The sequence below is a fragment of the Homo sapiens genome, chromosome 7, assembly GCF_000001405.40.
Source record: "Homo sapiens chromosome 7, GRCh38.p14 Primary Assembly".
Classification (NCBI taxonomy): domain Eukaryota; kingdom Metazoa; phylum Chordata; class Mammalia; order Primates; family Hominidae; genus Homo; species Homo sapiens.
The window spans coordinates 75,453,703-75,477,099 of NC_000007.14; the positions used below are offsets into that span (position 1 = coordinate 75,453,703).

General features: G+C 45.2%; 1 protein-coding gene across 3 annotated transcripts in view, besides 1 other annotated feature; it reads right to left on the minus strand.

Moving 5' to 3' along the window:
- POM121C (POM121 transmembrane nucleoporin C) overlaps positions 1-23,397 on the minus strand; it is a 69,514-nt gene that overhangs the window by 36,917 nt on the left and 9,200 nt on the right. For all 3 annotated transcript variants that reach the window (NR_160304.1, NR_160303.1, NM_001099415.3), the window contains 2 exons: positions 21,360-21,486; positions 21,002-21,180 (listed from right to left, as the gene is read on the minus strand). The gene's annotated coding sequence lies outside the window, so the exon portion shown is untranslated. The remainder of the gene's footprint in view (positions 1-21,001; positions 21,181-21,359; positions 21,487-23,397) is intronic.
- Positions 224-725: an enhancer, noted in NCBI's record as "H3K27ac hESC enhancer chr7:75083199-75083700 (GRCh37/hg19 assembly coordinates)". NCBI's record gives its function as "activates a minimal SCP1, AML or CMV promoter by ChIP-STARR-seq in naive H9 embryonic stem cells {active_cell/tissue: H9 hESC(naive)}" and the evidence as "EXISTENCE:reporter gene assay evidence [ECO:0000049][PMID:30033119]".

A 23,397-nucleotide genomic window follows, 5' to 3' on the forward strand; every position in this document is an offset into this window, starting at 1 on the left:
TCAGGGATTCTGTGATTCCAACAGGCCTGGCTTGTCTCTGGTCCACACGACATGTGGGGCCTCAGCTGGGAAGACATGGAGTCTTAAGTGTGATCAATGGGAGGGGGCTGGAATCATTTAGAGGCATCTTCATTCACAAAACCAGGAGCTGATACTGGCTGTCAGCCAGGACTTCAACTGACCTGTGGGCTGGAACCTGTCCATGTGGCCCCTCGCAGTCTCCCCATTTGGGCTGGTTTGGGCTTCATCACAGTCCGGCAGCTTACTTCTAAGGGCAAGCATTCCATGACAACACAGCAGAAAGGCATGACATTTTTACAGTGCAGCCTGGCTATCTCATAGCGTCGCTTCTGTCCTACTTTATTTATTGGTCAGGGCAATCACAAAGATGTGCACAGGCTCAAGGAAAAGAGACATACCCCCGACCACGCGATGGAAGAAGTGACAAGGTCATGTTATGAGAGGAGTGTGTGGGATGGGAGATAGGGCTGTGGCCACCTGCAGAAAATAGCATCTGCCACAGGCTGTCATGGAAGCGCAGGATGGGGATTTAGCCTACCTGAGGGGTCAGTCAGCAAAGGCCTCTGGGACGAAGTGAGATCTTCGGCTGAGGATGTGAGGGGCTAAAAGGAGACTGAGGAAGAGTCTCAGGGAGAGGAATCAATGAGACTGGATTCCAGAGAGAGGCTGGTGAGTTGGATGGTTTGCTTCAGTATGATGACAATACAGAGGGCAAGGAGACTGGTGCAGGAGGAGAGAGAAGGTGCCATGTGCTCTGGGTGGCGCTCTGTGCCGGACCCCCTTAGAAGAGGAGCAGCCTCCAGTCAGCGGTGTCCCAGGAACACAGAGGCTGGAGAGGACAATGGCAGCCAATCCCTGCTCCCAATCTGGTGACAGTAGGGAAAAGCTGCATGGTCTAGATCCACTCTGCTCCCTGGCCCCAGTATAGAAGATCAAATTCAATCTGCCCAATCTTATCCAGATAAAGTAAAGGAAGACTGGAAAAAAGAACTAATCCAAAGCTCCATCTGCCCATGACTTTCTCTGCTGATGCCGGAGGCAGCTATGGATAAAGAGATGGCACACGGCATGTCCCGACGCAGTGGAGGTGGGGAGACCCTGCAACTCCACAGGGAAAGAGTGAAGTTGCTGCCACCTGGGCATCAGCTATTCTCTGCTCTTCTGCCTCATCCTCAATTCAGACCATGATGGAGCTGATTTTCCTCCATTTTATACCTTGGATTGAATGGTCTCGAGCTGCTGGTCTTGTCTCCATAGTCACATCCAAGAGGTCTGTCTTTCAAATAAATGCTGTGTATCAATGTACAGTGTATATAATTAATGTATGATATCAGACTAAATTATAGATAAGACAAGAGATGAAATTAGAGTTAAGTAGGGACCCGATGACGAAGAGCCTTGTAAATCAGGGAGAGTCTGGTTCATGTGCTTCTCCAGACACAATTTCAACACGGCTGTAGGCATGTACCACTGATGACACGGACACTGAATTACCCGCCGTGCTGGTCTGTGGCTCTCAAGTTTTGCTCATTCTGCTTCTGCGGGAAATGCCTTGACGCACCTTGGGAAAACTCACTTAGATCTTTTTTTGAGATGGAGTCTCGCTCTGTCGCCAGGCTGGAGTACAGTGGCGCGATCTCGGCTCACTGCAACTTCTGCCTCCCAGGTTCAAGCGATTCCCCTGCCTCAGTCTCCCAAGTAGCTGGGACTACAGGCATGCACCACCATGCCCGGCTAATTTTGTGTGTGTATTTTAGTGGAGATGGGGTTTCACCATGTTGGCCAGGATGGTCTCGATCTCCTGACTTCATGATCCGCCCGCTTTGGCCTCCCAAAGTGCTGGGATTACAGGTGCGAGCCACCGCACCGGGCCAGAAAACCCACTTATCTTTTAAGATTCAGCCCAACTGTCACCACCTCTGGGAACCTGTCCTCAGCCCCAAACATATGGCCACCCTCCCTTTGGGGTCCCCGCTCGCCCGTGTCTATTTTCATTACATTCCTATCAGTTTACTGCACTGTGCTGCGTATCTACCGTGTCTATTTTCATTGCATTCCTATCAGTTTACTGCACTGTGCTGTGTGTCTATTTCTCCCACTCTGGCCTGTGGGCTCTTTGAAGACATGGGCTGTATCTCGCCTATCTTTTGATCCCTCACATAGGATATGGTGCATGGCGAGCACTCACTAAAGGTGTGCAGAGTACTGCATGAGGAAAAACTTCATCCAGGCCAGGCGCAGTGGCTCATGCCTGTACTCCCAGCACTTTGGGAGGCCAAAGAGGGAGGACAGCTTGAGCCCAAGAGTTCAAGATTAGCCTGGGCAACATAGCAGAGATCTCGTCTGTACCAAAACAACAACAACAACTAGCTGGGCATGGTGGCGTGAACCTGTAGTCCCAGCTACTCAGGAGGCTGAGGCAGGAGGATCCCTTGAACCCAGGAAGTCAACGCTGCAGTGAGGTATGATCGCTCCACTGCACTCCAGCCTGGGTGACAGAGTACAACCCTGCTCTTAAAAAAATAGAAAGTTCATTTATAAACAGAAGTGAACAGGAATCTGACTCTTGTACTTTGGTGGGAGTTTGGGTTATCTTTTACTTGAGGCTGAGGCTATGTCAAAACTAGGGATATAACAACAAGCACCATGTACCGAGTGCTGCTTCTGTGCCACAGGCTCTCCTACATGCTTGCCACACATTCGTCTATTTCATCCTCCCAATAGTCCTACTCCATGTCCAGCAAGGAGTGAAAAGGCTGAGGCGAGTCACAGGGAGAAGAGGGCCCCAGTGAACAGACGAAATGAGGAAGAAGATCTGGAGAGGTCGCACGAGCCAGAGCGCAAAGGCACAGTGGCTGCGGTGCAGGCTCTTTAGCAAGGTGCTTTGGGCTGGAAATGGGGTTTTACTGCCTGTTGCGAGATGGGACATGAGACACAATCAACATGCAAATGGGTAGGATGTTTCATCACACGGAAGCAAAATGTATTGCCGCTAAAATGAGAAGTAACACCCTAAAAGTTATCAAGACAACAATTTTCAATGCCAAATGTTGTTTCCAGTTCCATAGGAGATGGAATAAGCACACCCATTACATTTCTCTTCTAATTACAACTAAAACCCCTGTTCAAAATACATGAAGCAGCTGGGCACAGTGGCTCATGCCTGTAATCCCAGCACTCTGGGAGGCCGAGGCAGGTGAATCACCTGAGGTCAGGAGTTTGAGACCAGCCTGGCCAACATGGTGAAACCCGACCTCTACTGCTAATACAAACATGAGCTGGGCATGGTGGCAGGCGCCTGTAATCCCAGCTACTCAGGAGGCTGAGGCAGGAGAACTGCTTGAACCCAGGAGGTGGAGACTGTATTGAGCTAAGATTGCACCACTGCACTCCAGCCTGGGCAACAGAGCCAGACTATTTCAATTAAAAATAAATAAATAAATAAATAAATAAATAAATAAATAAATAAATAAATAAATAAATACATGAAGCAACGATCCAATCAATCAAACCAACAAATTCTGGAAAGGTAGAGAAGAGAAGGGCTGACCCAGTGGTGAGTTCCCAGGGTGGTTTGATGGTTTGTTCTTTGGCCTCCTATATACCCTGTCTTATCTGTTAGAGCGGAGTCTACAACCAGGAAATCCCAGTGCCCCCTTCATCCCCCAACCCCCACAAAAGGAGCCTCATCTTTCGAGCCAAATGACAGCGAAGAGGGCGGCCCTGCGGGACAGTGCCCTTTTGACTACACACACCCTACTCTAGGAAAACAGCCTGAAAAAAGCTGCACCTTCCCCTGCCCCAGATACTGTAGACACTGTGGAACAAAGACCTGTTGACCCTCCCCACCTTGGGCCAACACAAGCAGAGGTGGCATCTCTCCCCTCTCCACCAAGCACTGGCAAGACTGTGTGGAAGGGCCCTGCTGACCATCCACAACCTGCACAAGACTGAACCACAGTAACAAGGTGGCACCCCATCCTCTCTCAAAGACAGTGAGGAGCTAGAAGCAAGGACTCTCCAACCCATTTCCCGTTCCCCGTCCCACCCACCGCAGAATACTCCTCTCTAATCCTAATATAACGTCGTGTACATTTCTGTTACATTCGGATTAAAGACAAGTTCTGTTTAATAATAACTCCAAGAACAGTTGATATATATATTTTTTCTTTTAGAACAGGAGTGAAAGTTTATTAAAAAGCTTTAAAGCAGTAAAGAAAGGAAGGAAGGGAAGGAAAGTACACTTGGAAGAAGGCCAAACCCAGTTTTCATATTTTATTTTCGCATTGAAAATCAGTCAGATTTACTTCAGCCTCAAAAGTGTGTTTATGTAAAATTAAATGAGCACTAGCAGCAAGCTGCACTTTTTTTTTCCCAAATGGGAAACGGGTTAAATATGTGTAGGAAGTCCTGGGCCATGCCCTCCAAGTGCCCATGTGTGAAAACAACCAGGATCAACACAGCAAAAGCTCTGAGAGCTCAACGGCAATGTGGAATACTCTGAGGTTTCAAACTGGCCTCCAGGGCTGGGTGCGGTGGCTCATGCCTGTAATCCCAACACTGTGGGAGGCCGAGATGGGAGGAACACTTGAGCCCAGGAGTTCAAGATCAGCCTGGGCAACAGAGTGAGACCTTGTCTCTACTAAATATAAAAAATCAGCTGGGCGTGGTAGTGTGTACCTCTGGTCCCAGCTACTCAAGAGGCTGAGGAGGAGGAGTGATTGAGTCTGGGAGATTACAGCTGCAGTGAGCTATGACTGGGCCATTGCACTCCAGCCAGGGCAACAGAGCAAGACCCTGTCTCCAAACAACAACAAAAACAAAAACAAATTGGCCTCTGGGTTGCACAAAGGTGGGGGAGGCCAGAGGAGCTCTGCAAAAGCTTTGAAAACTAAATTGATCTTAGAACCAGAGCCCTGCTGGCCACAGAAAGTGCATCCTGAATCTAAACAGGTTGAGTGCCTGCTAATACAGAATATTTAAACAGGAACTACAGTCTCATAACATAACACTCAAAGTGTCCAGGATAAAATTAAAACTTACTCCTCATACTAAGAACCAGAAAAATCCGAACCCAGAAAAATTACTCCTCATACTAAAAACCAGAAAAAATCTGAATGAGGAAAGACAATTAACACTAAGATGACAAAGATATTGGAATTATTGCATAGGGATTTTAGATGAGCTATCTTATAAATGGCCCAAGAAGTAATTATGAACACTCTCGAAACACACTGAAAAATATAACGTCTCATTGAAGATATACGGAAGAACTACATTGTAATTTTAGAACTAGAAATTACAATAACTAAGTAAAAAACTCAATGGGTGAACTCAATAGCAGAATGGAGATACAACAGAGAAAAAAATTAGTGACCTTGATGATAGAGCAGCAGAAATGATTCAATCTGTATCGTGACAATCTTGCCATAAGAAAAAAAATTACGTAGAAATAATCCCATTTGACCAACAGAGAGAAAACAAATAGAAAAAAAAACTGAACAATGAGACAACAGCAAAAGCTCTAACATTCATGTCACTGAATTCCCAGAAGGAGAGGAAAAAGAGTGCAGTGCCCAAAAAACATCTGAAGAGGCCGGGCGCGGTGGCTCATGCCTGTAATCCCAGCACTTTGGGAAGCTGAGGCAGGAGGATCACTTGAGGTCAGGAGCTCAAGACCAGCCTGGTCAACATGGTGAAACCCCATCTCTACTAAAAATATAAAAATTAGCCAGGCATGGTGGTGCATGCCTGCAATCCCAGCTACTCGGGAGGCTGAGGCAGGAGAATCACTTGAACCAGGGAGGTGGAGGTTGCAGTGAGCTGAGATCACACCAGTGCACTCCAGCCTGGGCGATGGAGTGAGACTCTGTCTCAAAAAAAAAAAAAAAAAAAAAGAAAGAAATGAAGAAAAATCCAGAGAGATTTTTTTTCAGAAGAAAAAGTATAAAAATTAAATTAAAAAAGAGAAATTTAAAAAAGCAGTAAGAGGGTAAATATCTGGGTGAATATAATCTCGAGTTTAAAAATTATATTTGATGGGCAAAAGCAAAACCATAACATTATCTCAGTGGTTCTCAATGAATGTAGAGGTGATATTCAAGACAACAATACCATAAAGAAGGGCAGAGGGGCCTAGAAAGCAGTAGAGTTTCTACATTCCACTTGAATTGGCAAAAGGTTGATACTAGCCAATGATCATAAGTATGTATAATATAATCTCTACAGCCACCTATAAAATCCTATACAAAAATATATACTAAATGGCATACTGAATTGATTTAGCATGGCATATGAAGTTAAATGGCATACTAAGAAATGTCTAAGTACCCCATAAAAAGGCAAGAAAAGGGAAACAGGTATAAAAAAACCCAGAGGGAACAAGTAGAAAATAGATAATAAAAACCCGTCCAAAATTAAATATAAATCTTCTAAACACAGCAATCAAAAAGGTTGTTGGAATCTGTTTTTTTAAAAATGACTCATGGCCAAGTGTGGTAGCTTATGCCTATAATCCCAGCACATTAGGGGGCCGAGGCGGAGGGAATCACTTGAGCTCAGGAGTTTGAGACCAGCCTGGGCATGATAGCGAGACCCCATCTCCACAAAAAGAATAAGAAAAAAAAAGATTAGCCAGGCATGGTGGCACATACCTATAGTCCCAGCTACTCGGGAGGCTGAGGTGAGAGAATCACTCAAGCCCAGGAGGTCAAGGCTGCAGTGGGCCGTGACTGCACCACTGCACTCCAGCCAACAGAGTAAGACTCTGTCTCAATAAATAAATAAATATCAATAGTCACATAAGATGGCAGAGTAGGAAGCTGTAGTGTAGAGATCAGTCCCTTCACTAAAGCAACCACTGAGCTAGAAAGAGTGATTGGAATCAGCTCTTTTGGAATTCTGAAACATGACCAGGAACTCCTAACAACCAGAGACATACTTAAACAATGAAGAGAGAGGCTGCTGATCTTCACGAGTGAGTGGCATGTGCCAACCAGCCAACACTCCCCCATTCCTGAGCCTGAGTTCCCGAAGCAGCTGGCTGATGCCAGGGCGAGCAGCGGAACTCTGTCCTCCAAAACCATGGGTTCTGCACCTTGGTGGGTCCAATGGGTCTCTGAGGACCAGCCCGGATGCTTGCCTTGGTTTATTTGGCCCTCTCAGCAACAGTGGCTTCCCCAGGGACATCCTTCAGAAGATTTTATCAAAGAGACAAAATCCTCCTCTGCCCCACCCCATTTAAAGCCATCTATTTAAGGAAATCCATGTTAGGTGGCTGGCTGACTGCAGAGATAATGAAACAAATTTCAGTGACCACACAAGCACAAGGAAGAAACACTTTGCAAAAATAGTTTGGAAAAGTAACAAAAGGGGAGCTTCAGACCTCAACAAGCAAAACCCAGCAATCCCAGGTGACTGAGAGAATCACATTTTGAGGGTCATTACATTGTAACACTTAAAATGCAACGTTCTCAACAAAAAACCACAAAATATACAAAGAAACAGGAAATAGGAAGCTTAGACCATTCACAGGAAAAAAACAGCAAAGAAAATCAGCAAACAATACAATAACTGAACACCATCATCGACCAATGGAACCTAACTGACATTTACAGGAGACTTCACACACTAACAGCAGGGTACACATTCTTTGCCCATGGAAGATTCAGCAAGATTTACCAGAACCTGGGTCATAAAACAAATGTTTTTCTGAGATGGAGTCTCTTTCTGTCGCCCAGGCTGGAGTGCAGAGGTGCAATCGGCTTACTGCAACCTCCGCCTCCTGGGTTCAAGCAATTTTCCTGCCTCAGCTTCCAAGTAGCTGGGATTACAGGCATGCACCACCACGCCTGGCTAATTTTTGTGTTTTTCAGACAGGGTTTTGCCATGTTGGCCAGGCTGGTCTCAAACTCCTGACCTCAGGTGATCTACCTGCCTCGGCCTCCCAAAGTGATGGGATTACAGGTGTGAGCCACCATGCCCGGCCAAAACAAATCTTAAGAAATGTAAAATAACTGAAATCATACAAAATACGTTCTGTGACTGTAAAATAATTAAACTAAATCAATTTTAAAAAGAAACCAGAAAATCTCTAAACACATGGAAATTAAATACACTTCTAAATAATTCATGGGTCAAAGAGTGAGTCGCAAGGGAAACTGGAAAACATATTGAATTATGTAAAAGTGAAAATATAACATGTTGACTGGTATCAGCAAAAATGGCAGAGTAGGTATCTCCAAGTCCCCATCCCCCCACAGAAACATTGATAAACCAAGCAAAACTGTCTGAATCAACTTCATGAGAACTGTAGAAAAATAATCAAAGGTTTACAATAACCAGATCATCTGATGTGGCTCTTTGTCCCCAAGCACATCTCATCCTGAATTGTAATCCCCAGGGGTCAAGGAGGGACCTGGTGGAAGGTGACTGGATCACGGGCGCGGTTTGCCCTATGCTGTTCTCGTGATAGTGAGGGAGTTCTCACGAGATCTGATGGTTTTTAAGTGGCAGTTTCCCCTGCACTCTCCCCTCTCTCCTGCCAGCCAGTGAAGAGGGTACTTGCTTCTTGTTAGCTTTCCACCATGATTGTAAGTCTCCTGAGGCCTCCCCAGCCAAGTGGAACTGTGAGTCAATTAAACCTCCTTTCTTTATAAATTACCCAGGCTCAGGCAGTTCTTTCCAGCAGTGTGAAAACTGACTAATACTCCAAATGAACACTGAATCAAGAAAAAAGCAACTTCAAAATGGTAGGAAAACTGGGTTATTTTACTTGCCCTTGCCCCACAACCTTCCATGGTTCAGTGGGAACCTTGAAGATGGCAGCCCACATTCCCAGTGTGGTTTCTGGTATTGAAGGCAGCAGAGCAGACCTTATTCTCAAAGCATTTTGTTTTCCCGTTCTCAGCTGCCTGAGGGCTGCCAAAAGAACTGATACAGGGCAGCTGCCTTTGTTTCACCTAACCCAGAACTCACACAGGGCAGAAAAGTGGCTACACAGAGGGTATTCCTTGAAAACACTGTAAATCAAATGCATACCCTGCTGATGCCTAGGCAAAAGATTACAGTTGAGGCAAACTATAGGTGTGCTGACAGCATGGGAGAAGAAGCTGTGGAGAGTTTCTATGGGAAATTTGGGTACTGAAATTCAGACCTGCCCTTGTGTACTATGGAATTTCAGTAGCCATGCACATGCTGAGTGCAGAGCACATTCTCAGAATAGACCTGAGAAAGGATGCTGAGCTTTCATCTGTGGCTCCTCTCCATCCTCCCTGCAGGCAGGGAGTAAAGCCTAGGGCAAAGCTGTACACAGACTGGGCCGGGTGCGGTGGCTCACGCCTGTAATCCCAGCACTTTGGGAGGCTGAGGCGGGTAGATCACTTGAGGCCAGGAGTTTGAGACCAGCCTGGCCAACATAGTGAAACCCCGTCTCTACTAAAAAATACAAAAGTAAGCCGGGTGTGGTGGAAAATTAGCCAGGTGTGGTGACACAAGCCTGTAATCCCTGCTACTCAGGATGCTCAGGCAGAGAATCACTTGAACCTGGGAGGCAGAGGCTGCAGTGAGCCAAGATCGTGCCATTGTACTTCAGCCTAGGCGACAGGGCAAGACTCCACCTCAAAAAAATAAATAAAAAGTTGTACACAGACTGGCTAAGCCCTGAAGGACTGCTCCAGTGCCCCAGCACAGTGGCAATCCACAAAGATGGAAAGAGCTGGGTTTTTCTTTTTTTTTTTTTTTTTTTTACCTTTGGCATCTGGCATTCAAGGAAATCTCTGTTAAAACACTAGTTGAACACAAGCTAACGGCAGAGAGACTTTCAGAGACCGCACATGTAAAAGAAGACACACTTTGCAAAAATGTTTAGAAAGTCACTGAACAAACAGCTACAGCCCACAGCAAAAGCAAACCCAGGGGTGGTGGGGAGGATAAAATAATTTCCAGTTACCCCATTATAATACTCAAAATGTCTGATTTCCTTTTTTGAGACGGAGTCTTAGCTCTGTCATCCAGACTGGAGGGCAGTGGTGCGATCTCGGCTCACTGCAACCTCCACCTCCCTGGTTCAAGCAATTCCCCTGCCTCAACCTCCTGAGTAGCTGGGATTATAGGGGCATGCTACCATGTCTGACTGTTTTTGGATTTTTAGTAGAGATGGGATTTCACCATGTTGGCCAGACTGGTCCTGAACTTCTGACCTCAGGCAATCTGCCCACCTCGGCCTCCCAAAAGTGCTGGGATTACAGGCGTGAGGCACCACGCCTGGACTCTTTTTTTCTTTTTAATTTTACTTTTTCTTTTTTTGGGGAAAAGGGATTAGAGGTGTGAGTCACTGTGCCTGACTCCAATTTTCAAAAAAAAATTACAAACCATGCAGTGACATTAAGAGAGTACAGCCCATTCACAAAAGAAACAAATTGTCTTTAAGGAAGCACAGACATTGAAAGTACTAGACAAAGACTTTAAATCAGCTGTCTGAAATCTGCTCAAAAAGCTAAAAGAAACGATGAATAAAGAGTTAAAGGATACAAGGAGAACAATGTCTCAACAAATGCAGAACATCAATAAAGAAATAGAAAATATTATAGACAGGTGAGGGGCAGTGGCTCATGCCTGTAATTCCAGCACTTTGGGAGGCTGAGGCGGGCAGATCACCTGGGGCCAGGATTTGAAGACCAGCCTCAGCAACATGGCGAAACCCCCTCTCTACAAAAAATGCAAACAATCAGCCAAGTGTGGTGGCATGCGCCTGTAGTCCCAGCCACTTGGGAGGCTGAGGTGGGAGAATTGCCTGAGCATGAGAAGTCAAGGCTGCAGTGAGCCAAGATTGCACCACTGCACTCCAGCCTGGGTGACAGAGTGAGACCCTGTCTCAATAAAAGAATTTATTATAGACAAACTAAAGCTTAGAGAAAAAAAGAAAGGAAAAAAATAGAAATTATTGAAAGGAATCAAAGTCTGAAGCTGAAAAGTATACAAAAATTAGCCAGGCATGGTGGCGGGCACCTGTAATCCCAGCTACTCGAGAGGCTGAGACAGGAGAATTGCTTGAACCCAGGAGACAGAGGTTGCAGTGAGCCAAGATCGCACCATTGCACTCCAGTCTGGGTGACAAGAACGAAACTCCATCTCAAAAAAAAAAAAAAAAAAAAAAAAAAGTATAGAAATGGAAATGAAAAATTCACCAGACTATTTCGAATTCATTAGAGCAGATGGAAGAGAGAGTCATTGAACACATGAAGACAGGTAGATGAAACTATCCTGTCTACAGTTCTTTTTTTTTTTTTTGGATGGAGTTTCACTCTTGTTGTCTAAGCTGGGGTGCAATGGCGTGATCTCAGCTCATTGAAACCTCTGCCTACCGGGTTCAAGCAATTCTCCTGCCTCAGCCTCCCAAGTAGCTGGGATTACAGGCATGCGCCACCATGCCCGGCTATTTTTGTATTTTTAGTAGAGATTGGGGTTTCACCATGTTGGCCAGACTGGTCTTGAACTCCTGACCTCAGGTGATCTGCTCGCCTTGGCCTCCCAAAGTGCTGGGATTATAAGCGTGAGCCACCGTGCCCAGCCTGAATTGTAACACTTTAAAATGGTATGTGGACTGGGTGTGGTGGCTCATGCCTATAATCCCAGCACCTTGGGAGGCTGAGGTAGGAGGATCGCTTGAGACCTGGAGTTCAAGACCAGTCTGGCAACACAGTGAGATCCCATCTCTACAAAAAAAAAAATAAAAAAGTAGCCTGAGTCCGGCCTGGCACAGTGGCTCACACCTGTAATCCCAGCACTTTGGGAGGCTGAGGCGGGTGGATCATGCGGTCAGGAGTTCGAGACCAGCCTGGCCAAGATGGTGAAACCCCGTCTCTACTGAAAAGACAAAAATTAGCCGGGCATGGTGGCAGGCACTTGTAATCCCAGCTACTCTGGAGGCTGAGGCAGGAGAGTCGCTTGTACCTGGGAGGTGGAGGTTGCAGTGAGCCAAGATTGTGCCACTGCACTCCAGCCTGGGCCACAGAGCAAGACTCCATCTCAAAAAAAAAAAAAAAAATTAGCCTGAGTCCTAGCTACTCAGGATGAGGTGGGAGGATTGCTTGAGCCCAGGAATTCAAGGCTGCAGAGAGCTATACTCACACCACTGCACTCCAGCACAGGCAACAGAGTGACACCCTGTCTCAAAAAAAAAAAAAAAAAAAAAAAAAAAAAGGTGTGTGACTTTCGCCTCAATTAAAAAAAATAAAACATATAAAAACCTGTCAGCTGGGCATGGTGGTGCATACCTGTAGTCCCAAGTATTTGAGAGACTGTGGTGGGAGGATTCCTGGAGCCCAGGAGTTTGAGGCTTCAATGAGCTGTGATTGCACCACTGCAGTCTGACCTGGGCAACAAAGGGAGATGCCATCTCTTAAAAAAAAAACGTCAAATCCTGTGAGATGCAGCCAAAGTAAACTTTAGGTAAATTCATAGCCCTAAATGCTTAGAGAAGAAGCAATAAAAAAAAAAAAATCTTAAGAATCTGAGCTTCCATTTTAAGAAACTAGAAAAAGAAGAGCAAAATAACCACAAAACAAGCAGAAAGAAGGAAATAGAATTAATATAAGAGCAGGCTGGGAGGGGTGGCTCACACCTCTAGTCCCAACACTTTGGGAGGCTGAGGTGGGCAGATCTCTTAAGGCCAGGAGTTCAACACCAGCCTGGCCAACATGGTAAACCTCCATCTCTACTAAAAATACAAAAATTAGCCAGGCGTGATTGCATGTGCCTATAATCCTAGTTACTCCCAAGCTGAGGTAGGAGAATCGCTTGAACCCAGGAGGTGGAGGTTGCAGTGAGCCAAGATTGTGCCACTGCACTCCAGCCTGGGTGACAGAGCAAGACTCCATCTCAAAAAATAAAAATTAAAAAAAAAAAAATGTAAGAGTAGAAATCAGTGAAGTTAAAATAGAAACATTTAAAAAATCAATTAAACCAAATGTTGGCTCTTCGAAAAGATCAATTAAAAATAAGAAATCCCTAGCCAGACTAATCAAAGAAAAAAAAAAAGCAAAGAGAGAGGATGCAAATGACCAGCATCAGGAATAAAAGGGAGGCTATTAGCACAGACCCTGCATGCATCAAAATGAGATTAAATATTACAAACAAATCTAGGCACCCAGCTCTCACCCTCATTTTTTATAAGTGGGAAAAAGACCCAGAGATCAAATGACTCACTCAAAATGACAGTCAATGACAGAGCAGGGCCTGGGGCCTTAGGACTGATTATCCAAATGCCATCAGAGAACGAGCTAAATCAGAAGCACCTAGTGAGCTTTTAAAAAATAATTCTCCAGGGCACAACCCCTGAGATTCTGATTCAGTAGGTTTTGGAGTGATGCCTAATATTCTGAAAATGCCAAAAGCTCAACAGATGGTTCTCTTGCTTGGCCAGTTTTAGAAAATGCAGTGTCCCATATTACCACCTTCACTCATATGACGACTGTAGAGAAAATCAAAAAATCTGGTGCTCAAGTATGTTTAAATTTAATGTAAAGCACCGGGCGTGGTGGCTCACGCCTGTAATCCCAGCACTTTGGGAGGCTGAGGTGGGTGGATCACGAGGTCAGGAGATTGAGACCATCCTGGCTAACACAGTGAAACCCCATCACTACTAAAAATACAAAAAAATTAGCCGGGTGTGGTGGCACATGCCTGTAGTCCCAGCTACTTGGGAGGCTGAGGCAGGAGAATGGTGTGAACCCTGGAGGCGGAGCTTGCAGTGAGCCGAGAATGCGCCACTGCACTCCAGCCTGGGCGACAGAGCGAGATTCTGTCTCAAAAAAAAAAAAAAAAAAAAAAAATGTAATATAAAGCAGGCGGAATAAATCCTGTGATGGTGACCGGGTGAATGCTCTTGAGAGAAATCATAATCTGGAATACCCGTCTCTGACATTTCCCATGGCAGTTAACATTTTTCCACTTTATTCAAATACACATTTATTTGTCAAATATTTGCTGGGTACCACTCTGTGCTAGGTATTGGGGATACAGTCATTTGCATCACAAAGTCCCTGCTCAGTGTAATAAGCACTCATTGAGCACCTACCTATGTGTGAGGAACTGTGCTAGGGGGTATCAGAAACACACAAAATAGGCCGGGCACTGTGGCTCATGCCTGTAATCCCAGCACTTTGGGAGGCCAAGGTGGGCAGATCACCTGGGGTCAGGAGTTTGAGACCAGCCTGACCAACATGATGAAACCCCATCACTACTAAAAATACAAAAAAATTAGCCAGGTGTAGTGGTGGGTGCCTATAATCCCCAGCTACTCAGGGGCTGAGGCCGGAGAATTGCTTGAACTGAGGAGGCAGAAGTTGCAGTGAGCTGAGATGGCACAACTGCACCCCAACCTGGGCAACAGAGACTCTGTCTAAAAAAAAAAAAAAAAAAAAAAAAAAGAAAAGAAAAGAAAAAGAAACGCAGAAACACAAAATAAAACTGAGCCTCTCCTCTCAAAGAACTCACCCGCTCCAGTCGGAGACAAACTATACAACGCCTTCCCAGGTATCTCATCCCGTTTCTTAAGTCCAAATTCTGTTTCCACATTGAAGACTCCAGCTTTTTTTTTTTTTTTTTTTTTTTTGAGACAGTCTCACTCTGTCGCCCAGGCTGGAGTGCAGTGGTGCAATCTCGGCTCACTGCAACCTCTACCTCCCAGGTTCAAGTGATTCTCCTGCCTCAGCCTCCTGAGTACCTGGGATTACATGCGCCCACCACCACACCTGGCTAATTTTTTGTATTTTTAGTAGAGACAGGATTTCGCCATGTTGGCCAGGCTGGGCTCACACTCCCAACCTCAGGTGATCCACCCACCTTGGCCTCCCAAAGTGTTGGGATTACAGGCGTGAGCCAACACGCCTGACTGACTCCAGCATTTTTATCTTCATCTCAATCTCATCCCTAAACTCAAAACCAACATATGCAACTGCCTACTTGATGTTTCCATTTGGATATCTAACTAACACCTCAAACTTAACATGTGCAAAGCCAGGTGCAGTGGGTCATGCCTATAATCCCAACACTTTGGGAGGTCAAGACGGGAGGATCGCTTGAGCCCAGGAGTTTGAGACCAGCCTGGGCAACTTAGTGAGACCCCATCTGTCTATTTATTTTTAAAACATTAAAAATTGTTTTCAAAGAAAAAAATAAACCTAACACGTGCAAGACCAAATTCCCAATTTCGCACTCTCCCACCAAACTGGTTTCTCCCGCAGTCTTTGCCAACTCAATAAATAACAACTCCATTCTTAAAGTTCACGTAACAAAAATCCTGGAGTCATCCTTGACTCCTCTCTTTCTCTTACACACTGCATGCAAAGCATCTGCAAATCTTTTGGGTCTACTTTCTTTTTTTTTTTTTTCCTAGACAGGGTCTTGCTCTGTTGCCCAGGCTGGAGTGCAGTGGCGTGATCACAGCTCACTGCAGCCATGACTTCCCAGGCTAAAGCGATTCTCTCACCTCAGCCTCCCAAGTCCCTGGGACTACAGGCATGCACTACCAAACCCAGCTAATTTTTTATTTTTTTAGAGACAGGGTCTTGCTATGTTTCCCAGGCTAGCCTTGATCTCCTGGGCTCAAGTGATCCTCCTGCCTTGGCCTCCCAAAGTGCTCAGATTACAGGCCTGAGCCACCACACCTGGCCAGGTCTACTTTCAAAATACATCCTGCATGTGACCACTTCTATCTGCAGCTGCCTCTCTCATCCATACCTCTGGCTTGTTTTGCCTGGAGTGCTGCCTTATAACCAGGACCCCTGTTTTGACCAGAGTTCTCCTATGAACTGTTCTCAACAGAGAGGCCAGAGAGATCTTTTTAAAAACACTAAGTTGAATCTCATTAGTCCTCTGTTCAACCTGCAAAGATTCCCATTTTATTCAGAGTAAAAGACAATCCTTATGATCCTCACCAAGGCATGACATGACTCCCTACTCCCTCTTGGATCTCAACTCTCTCCACCTTTGCCTTTGCTGAACTTCGCTCCAGCCTCATTGGCTTTTTCTGCTGTTCTAAACATGCCATGCATACTCCTCTCTGGAATGCTGTTCCTTTGGAGGTAAGCATGGCTGTCTCTCCACCTCCTTCAGCTCTCTAAGTATCTTATCAGTGAGTCCTTTCTCAACCACCTTATAAAAAGTAATCACTTCCCACTCCCAAGGAACTTTTTTCCCCTCACAGTAATTGTCACCATTTGACACATATATTTTATTTGGTTTATTATTGTTACTTTTTGAGACAGTGTCTTGCTCTGTTGCCCAGGATGGAGTACAGTGGCACAATCTCGGCTCACTGCAACCTTAGCCTCCCAGGTTCAAGCTATTTCTGGCTAATTTTTGTATTTTTAGTAGAGACGGGGTTTCGCCATGTTACCCAGGCTGGTCTCGAACTCCTGAACTCGGCCTCCCAAAGTGCTAGGGTTACAGGCATGAGCCACCACGCCCGGCCTTGACACATATATTTTAGTGTCCATCTTTTCCTGCAATAAAGTGTTAAATTATTAGGGTAACGTGTTCAGTTCACTATCTTATTCCCAGTGCTTAACAGTGGCAGGCAAATAGTTAATGATCAGTACATATTTTGTGAATGAATGTGACATGTTCTAATAGAAGTAGGAAATGAACACTTCGTGGGATGGGTAAACAGTGGGAGTCATGGCCAAAAATAGTTTAGAATGGATCATTTACTGCAATGGTTTTCAAGCACTTTTCTTTCTTTCTTTTTTTACAGAATCAGGGTATCACTCTTGCCCAGGCTGGAGTGCAGTGGTACAATCATAGCTCACTGCAACCTGAGAACTCTGAGCTCAAGCAATCCTCTTTTACCTCAACATTCCCAAGTAGCTGGGACTACAGGTGCGTGCCACCATGCCCAGCTAATTTAACTTTTTTTCTTTTTTTTGAGAAAGGGTCTCACCCTGTCACCCAGGCTGGAGTGCAGTGGCACTATCACAGCCCACTGCAGCCTTGACCTCCTGGGCTCAAGCAATCCTCCCACCTCAGCCTCCTGAATAGCTGGGACTACAAGTGCATGCCACCACTTCTGGCTAATTTTTAAATTTTTTTATAGAAATGGGGTCTCCCTATGTTGCCCAGGCTGACCTCGAACCCCTGGGCTCAAGTGATCTGCCCACCTCGACCACTCAAAGTGCTGGGATTACAGGCATAAGCCACCATGCCCAGTCCAGCATATATATATATTTTTAAACTGGAACTCATTTTTTTAAATGGAAGCACAATCTGAAAAAGGAATAAAACCCAAAGATTGACAACGGGCTAGAAAACCAGAAATCCCCAATTCAGCTTCTTCCCCTCACTCTCCCCTTTGAACTCATGATGCGTCTCAAAGCCCAGCTTGAAAGCCACAGATCTAGAGCTTGGATGGCATTCTAATGAGCTAAGCATCTAAACCGACCACAGTTGGGAGCCACTGAAAGTTTTTGAGCAGGTAAATGATAGATTGATTGATTTATTCATTTTGAGACAGTCTTGCTCTGTCACCCAGGCTGGAGTATAGTGGCGCGATCTCAGCTCACTGCAGCCTCTGCCTCCTGGGTTCAAGTGATTCTCCTGCCTCAGCCTCTGGAGTAGCTGGGATTACAGGCGTGCACCACCACGCCTGGCTAATTTTTCTATATTTAGTAGAGACGGGTTGGCCAGGGTGGTCTCGAACTCCTGACCTCAGGTAATCCACCTGCCTCCACCTCCCACAGTGCTGGGATTACAGGTGTGAGCCACCATGCCCGGCCGAGACCTTGACTCTTAAAAAACACAAAACGGGGGCAGGGGGAGGGGGCAGCACAGAACAGAAACAGAACTTTGGGGAACAGAGACACGGCGCCGAGTTGAGCAGAAACCAGGGCAGAAGCACCAGGCAGAGATGGAAGACTGACTTTCATCGAAGGAGTGGGATCCTGGGACCCAAGGGAGTGGGAGCACAGTAAGTAGGGATGAAGATGGCGAAAGCACGACCTGCCAGAGCGCTTGCTGACGAGCCACACTCCACACCTACTACGCGCTGTCACGTGCTTGACAAAACCCGACACACAACGCACAACGCTAAAGTTTATTGCTCAACAATGCAAATACAGTTAACATTACCGTACACTTAAAAATGGTTAAGATGGTAAATTGTATGTTACGTTTTTGTTTTTTGAGATGGAGTCTGGCTCTGTCGCCCAGGCTGGAGTGCAGCGGTGTGATCTCCGCTCACTGCAAGCTCTGCCTCCCGGGTTCAGGCCATTCTCTTGCCTCAGCCTCCCAAGTAGCTGGGACTGCAGGCGCCCACCACCACGCCCGGCTAATTTTTTTGTATTTTTAGTAGAGACGGGGTTTCACCGTGTTTGCCAGGATGGTCTCGATCTCCTGACCTCGTGATCCGCCCACCTCGGCCTCCCAAAGTGCTGGGATTACAGGCATGAGCCACCGTGCCTGGCCATGTTACGTGTTTTTTTAACCACAATTTAAAATTAAATGAAGGGGGCTGGGTGCAGTGGCTCACGCCTGTAATCCCAGCACTTTGGGAAGCTGAGGTGGGCAGATCACAAGGCCAAGAGTTCAACAGAGAACTCCTGGCCAACAGACTGAAACCCCGTCTCTACTAAAAATACAAAAATAGGCCGGGCGTGATGGTGCATGCCTGTAATCTCAGCTACTCGGGAGGCTGAGGCACAAGAATCACTTGAATCTGGGAGGCAGAGGTTATCGTGAGCCAAGATTGTGCCACTGCACTCCAGCCTCAGTGACAGAGTGAGACTCTGTCTCAATAAATAAGTAGGCTGGGCACAGTGGCTCAGGCCTGTAATCCTAGCACTTTGAGAGGCTGAGGCAGGTGGATCACAAGGTCAGGAGTTAGAGACCAGCCTGACCAATATGGTGAAACCCCGTCTCTACTAAAAATATAAAAATTAGCCAGGCATGGTGGTGTGCACCTGTAATCCCAGCTACTTTGGGAGGCTGAGGCAGGAGAATCGCTTGAACCTGGGAGACAGAGGCTGCAGTGAGCCGAGATCATGCCATTGCACTCCAGCCTGGGTGACAAGAGCGAGACACTATCTCAAAATGGAAGGAAGGAAGGGAGGGAGGGAGGAAGGGAGGGAGGGAAGAGAGGAAGAAAGGAAGGGAAAATATGTATTATCTCAGCAAGTAAAATGCAGATGAAGGAAAAGGACAATGATCATTTGAATGGAAGATGGATCCACTGTAATCCAGGTATGGGAGAATACTGAACACGAATGTCAAAAGAAACAGAATGTGCTGACGATCTGCAAGGCATTTCACAGAAGACAAAGAACACAAACCATGGAGAGAAGACTAGCACAATCAAATAGTGGGAGGTGAGGAAGGTAGACAGAATTCATGATTTTGGAATCTGCACAGTTTATCATCAGACATTCTGAGAAAGAAGGAAGTGAACTATCTCACTGGTACTGCTATATTGTCAAGTAAAATATTCAACTAGGTTAAAAGTGTCAGACATATCAATTTGGAGGCAAGCTGCAAAAATACACAGGAAAAAAGGTCTTAGAAGTTGAGATTAGATAAACTCTTTTACGGGATACAAAGAAAACCAAAAAAGTGGAAAATGGGTTCTAAGAGGACACTCCTGAAAAGGCAAGAAAAGGAACCAACATTCACTTATGAAATTCACACTTCCTGAATGTCTACTATGGACAGAGCATGATTCCAGTTATGGGGAAGGGGAAATGAACACACAGACAGGTCACAAATGAGCATTGGGGAAAGAGGGGAAAGCTGAGGGAGCGCTACATCATCACATCAACTGAGCATGGACTTGGGGAAATAAGGTACACCACAAGCTGTGACTCAATTCACAAGCACAGGTGGAGGACGAGGTTTTGGTATCTGAATGCCTAAAGAAATAAATAAAATCGAGGGCAGAAAATAAGTCCAAGGTTTTTTTTTGTTTGTTTGTTTGTTTGTTTTTTTGTTTTTTTTGAGACGGAGTCTCGCTCTGTCGCCCAGGCTGGAGTGCAGTGGCGGGATCTCGGCTCACTGCAAGCTCCGCCTCCCGTGTTCACGCCATTCTCCTGCCTCAGCCTCCCAAGTAGCTGGGACTACAGGCGCCCGCCACTACGTCCGGCTAATTTTTTGTATTTTTAGTAGAGACGGGGTTTCACCGTTTTAGCCGGGATGGTCTCGATCTCCTGACCTTGTGATCCGCCCGCCTCGGCCTCCTAAAGTGCTGGGATTACAGGCGTTAGCCACCGCGCCCGGCCAAGTCCAAGGTATTTTTAAAGCAAGGAAGGAAAGAAAATGGAAGATAAAAAGAATGAACATAAAAGTCTCAAGTTAATTTTTATGTCAGACTTCTGAATGCCCCAAAATGAAACAATTCTGTAAGGCCGGGAGCAGTGGCTCAGGACTGTAATCTCAGCACTTGGGGAGGCTGAGGTGGGTGGATCACTTGAGGCCAGGAGTTCAAGACCAGCATGGCCAACATGGTGAAACCCTGTCTCTACTAAAAATACAAAAATTAGCCAGGCTTGGTGGCATGTGCCTGAAATCCCAGCTACTCAGGAGGCTGAGGAAGGAGAATCGCTTGAACCTGGGAGGTGATGGTTGCAGTGAGCTGAGATCATACCAGTGCACATCAGCCTGGGTGACAGAACAAGACTCCGTCTCCAAAAACCAAACAAAAAAACAAACAGCCCACAACAATTCTCTAATGGCGAGGGAGTAAATAAGTGACCGATAATGCTGGAGGAAGAGGAAGTGAATGGGTCCCCAGTATAGGTTAGAATGAAAAAATCCCTACCAATGTAAATCAAATATAAAATAAACAAAAGAGTTCATGTATGTGTGCGGGAAGGAAAGTGATATTTGGGGGTTGGGAGGTGTTACTGAGGGTACCGAATACATATAAACAACTCTTTAGTCACTCCCAAAGGTCTGGGATGAGCATTTTTTAACATTTGATACTCTACTAACTTACCAGGACTATGTTGACATGGAAATTCACCTCCCGTTATCCACAGCTCCTCTCCCTGCTCCAACTTAATGATGACGTTTGGCTTGGTGATATCATATCTTGTTAATGGGAAAAGAAGAAGGACTTGGGCAAGTTGCTCGGCTTCAGAATCTCCGAAGTACAAGATGTTGCCACCTCATAAGCTGCATAACAGAAATGCTCCATTTTTTACCTTATCAAAGTTAGAACCTTTCAATGAAGAATAATATAAACACTGCAGCTAGTGCCCACAAGGAATTAAATGGTGTTGCCACTTATTTCTTCAAACTCAAGCATAAAACCCCATTCAACTGAGAGCATTCAGAAAGCAAGCTATCCTCACCCAAGGAAACTAGATGGCTGTAGTTCTCCAACATCACATCCCCGTATGTTATCTTCTCATCAGGGTCCAGTTGCCGCCACTCCTCCTGGGTGAAATCCACAGCCACATCTTTGAATGACACTGGCCCCTGTAATGGCAACATGATCAGAATTGGGAGATATGGAAAAGGGATAGGGGGATAACATTTTACAAAGCTCACTGGTGAAGTTAACCATGAACATTGTATACCTTATTTTATGTTACAGATTATGGAAGGGAAATCATATTGGAAACACATATCCTTTGGGGTCCTTTATATATATACAAAAATAAAAAGCCAAAACACAACTGAGCTCCTATTTTGCAACTGAACTGAGTTTTGGGGATATGAGATGAGTGAAACACCATGCCTGCTCTCAGAAAGCAGACAACCTAATAAGGAGATAAACATGTAAACAAACACAAGCATTTTACTTCTTGTCACTTCTTTTAGTCTTCTTTGCTGCCAGGCCCTCCCCTTCTCCGGGACCTCTTCATGTTGGAGTGCCCACCACTCAGTTCCTGGTCTTCTTCTTCCTAACTCACTGCTCTGGGGCTCTCACCTAGTTTCAGCTCCTTGTTCTTTTGGCTCTTTTATTCTCATAGCCAGTGGCCTCTGGCTATCTGCATGACTGATTTTATCTCAAACATCTCAATCTCACAGCAATAAATATTCGTTAAATGAATGAATGCCCAAAGCTGTTATTAGAGTAATGCAGACAAGGTGCAGAATGATTTAACAAAAGAGGATCAAATTATTTTAACTTTATGCCATCAGATTAGGCTTCACAGACTCAGTTAACTTGAAGTCCTTAAAGATGAATTGTGTATTCTATGGGATGAAGGGGAGGAAGAATATGATGAGGTGTAAAAGTACCAATGGCAAACATGAAGCAGCTTCAATTTTTAAGAGGTTGGGGCTGGGCATGGTGGCTCATGCCTATAATCCTAGCACTTTGGGAGGACGAGATGGGAAGATCGTTTGAGCTCAGGAGTTCGAGACCAGGTTGGGCAACATAGTAAGAACCTTATCTCTGCTAAAAATAAAATTTTTTTAAAAAATTGGCTGGGCATCATGGCACATGCCTGTAGTTCCAGCTACTTGGGAGGCTAAGGCAGGAGGATGGCTTGAGCCTGGGAGGTCAAGGCTACAGTGAGCTGTGAATGCAACACTGCACTCCAGCCTAGGCAACAGAGCGAGACCTTGTCTCAAAAAAAAAAAAAAAAGAAAAATGCAAAGCTCCTGGGCTCCAGCAATCCACCTGCCTTGGCCTCCCAAAGTATTGGGATTACAGGCTTGAGCCAGCATGCCCTGCCCAAACTTGCAGTTTAGAAAAAGGAAGTGCCCAGTAAGCATGTTGCATTATCCTGTTATTTATAAAGAACATATCAACAAGGGGTTCAAACCCAGTGATACAGCTAGGACCATGTAGATCCCAAGAGATAGCAGAGGCAGAGCTGCTAGGCTGGTGGGCTGAGAAACTAAAGCAGAACATCCAAGCTTATCCACAGGCAGGCCAAAGGAGCTGATAAAATCACCGAGAGAGAGTAATAACTTTCTGGGTTAACTTAGTCCAGAAGGCAAGGAGGTGGTGGGGGTTAGAAGACTGATCGACCAATAAATAACATAAAATTACATGTCAATACCACTTACATCAATACAAATACCCAAAATGAAACATAACCAAACAAAATCCAGTACCAGATTAAAAACATAATATACAACAGACAAATAGGACTTATTCCAACAATATAGACTAGTTTAATATTTGGAAATCTATTAATATGATAAGCCACTATAACACAGCAAAGAAGAAAAATCTTGTATCCATGAAGATACTTGAAAAAGCTTGACAGAAAAAGCTGATTTAAAAAAACAAACTAAAGAAAATAGAAACTGATGGATACTTCATTAACATCAATATTATATACACAAATATAAATATTACACCCTAATATGCCATAGTACGTATGATATGTGACATATGTATTTCAATTACACACAAGCACATATATACAG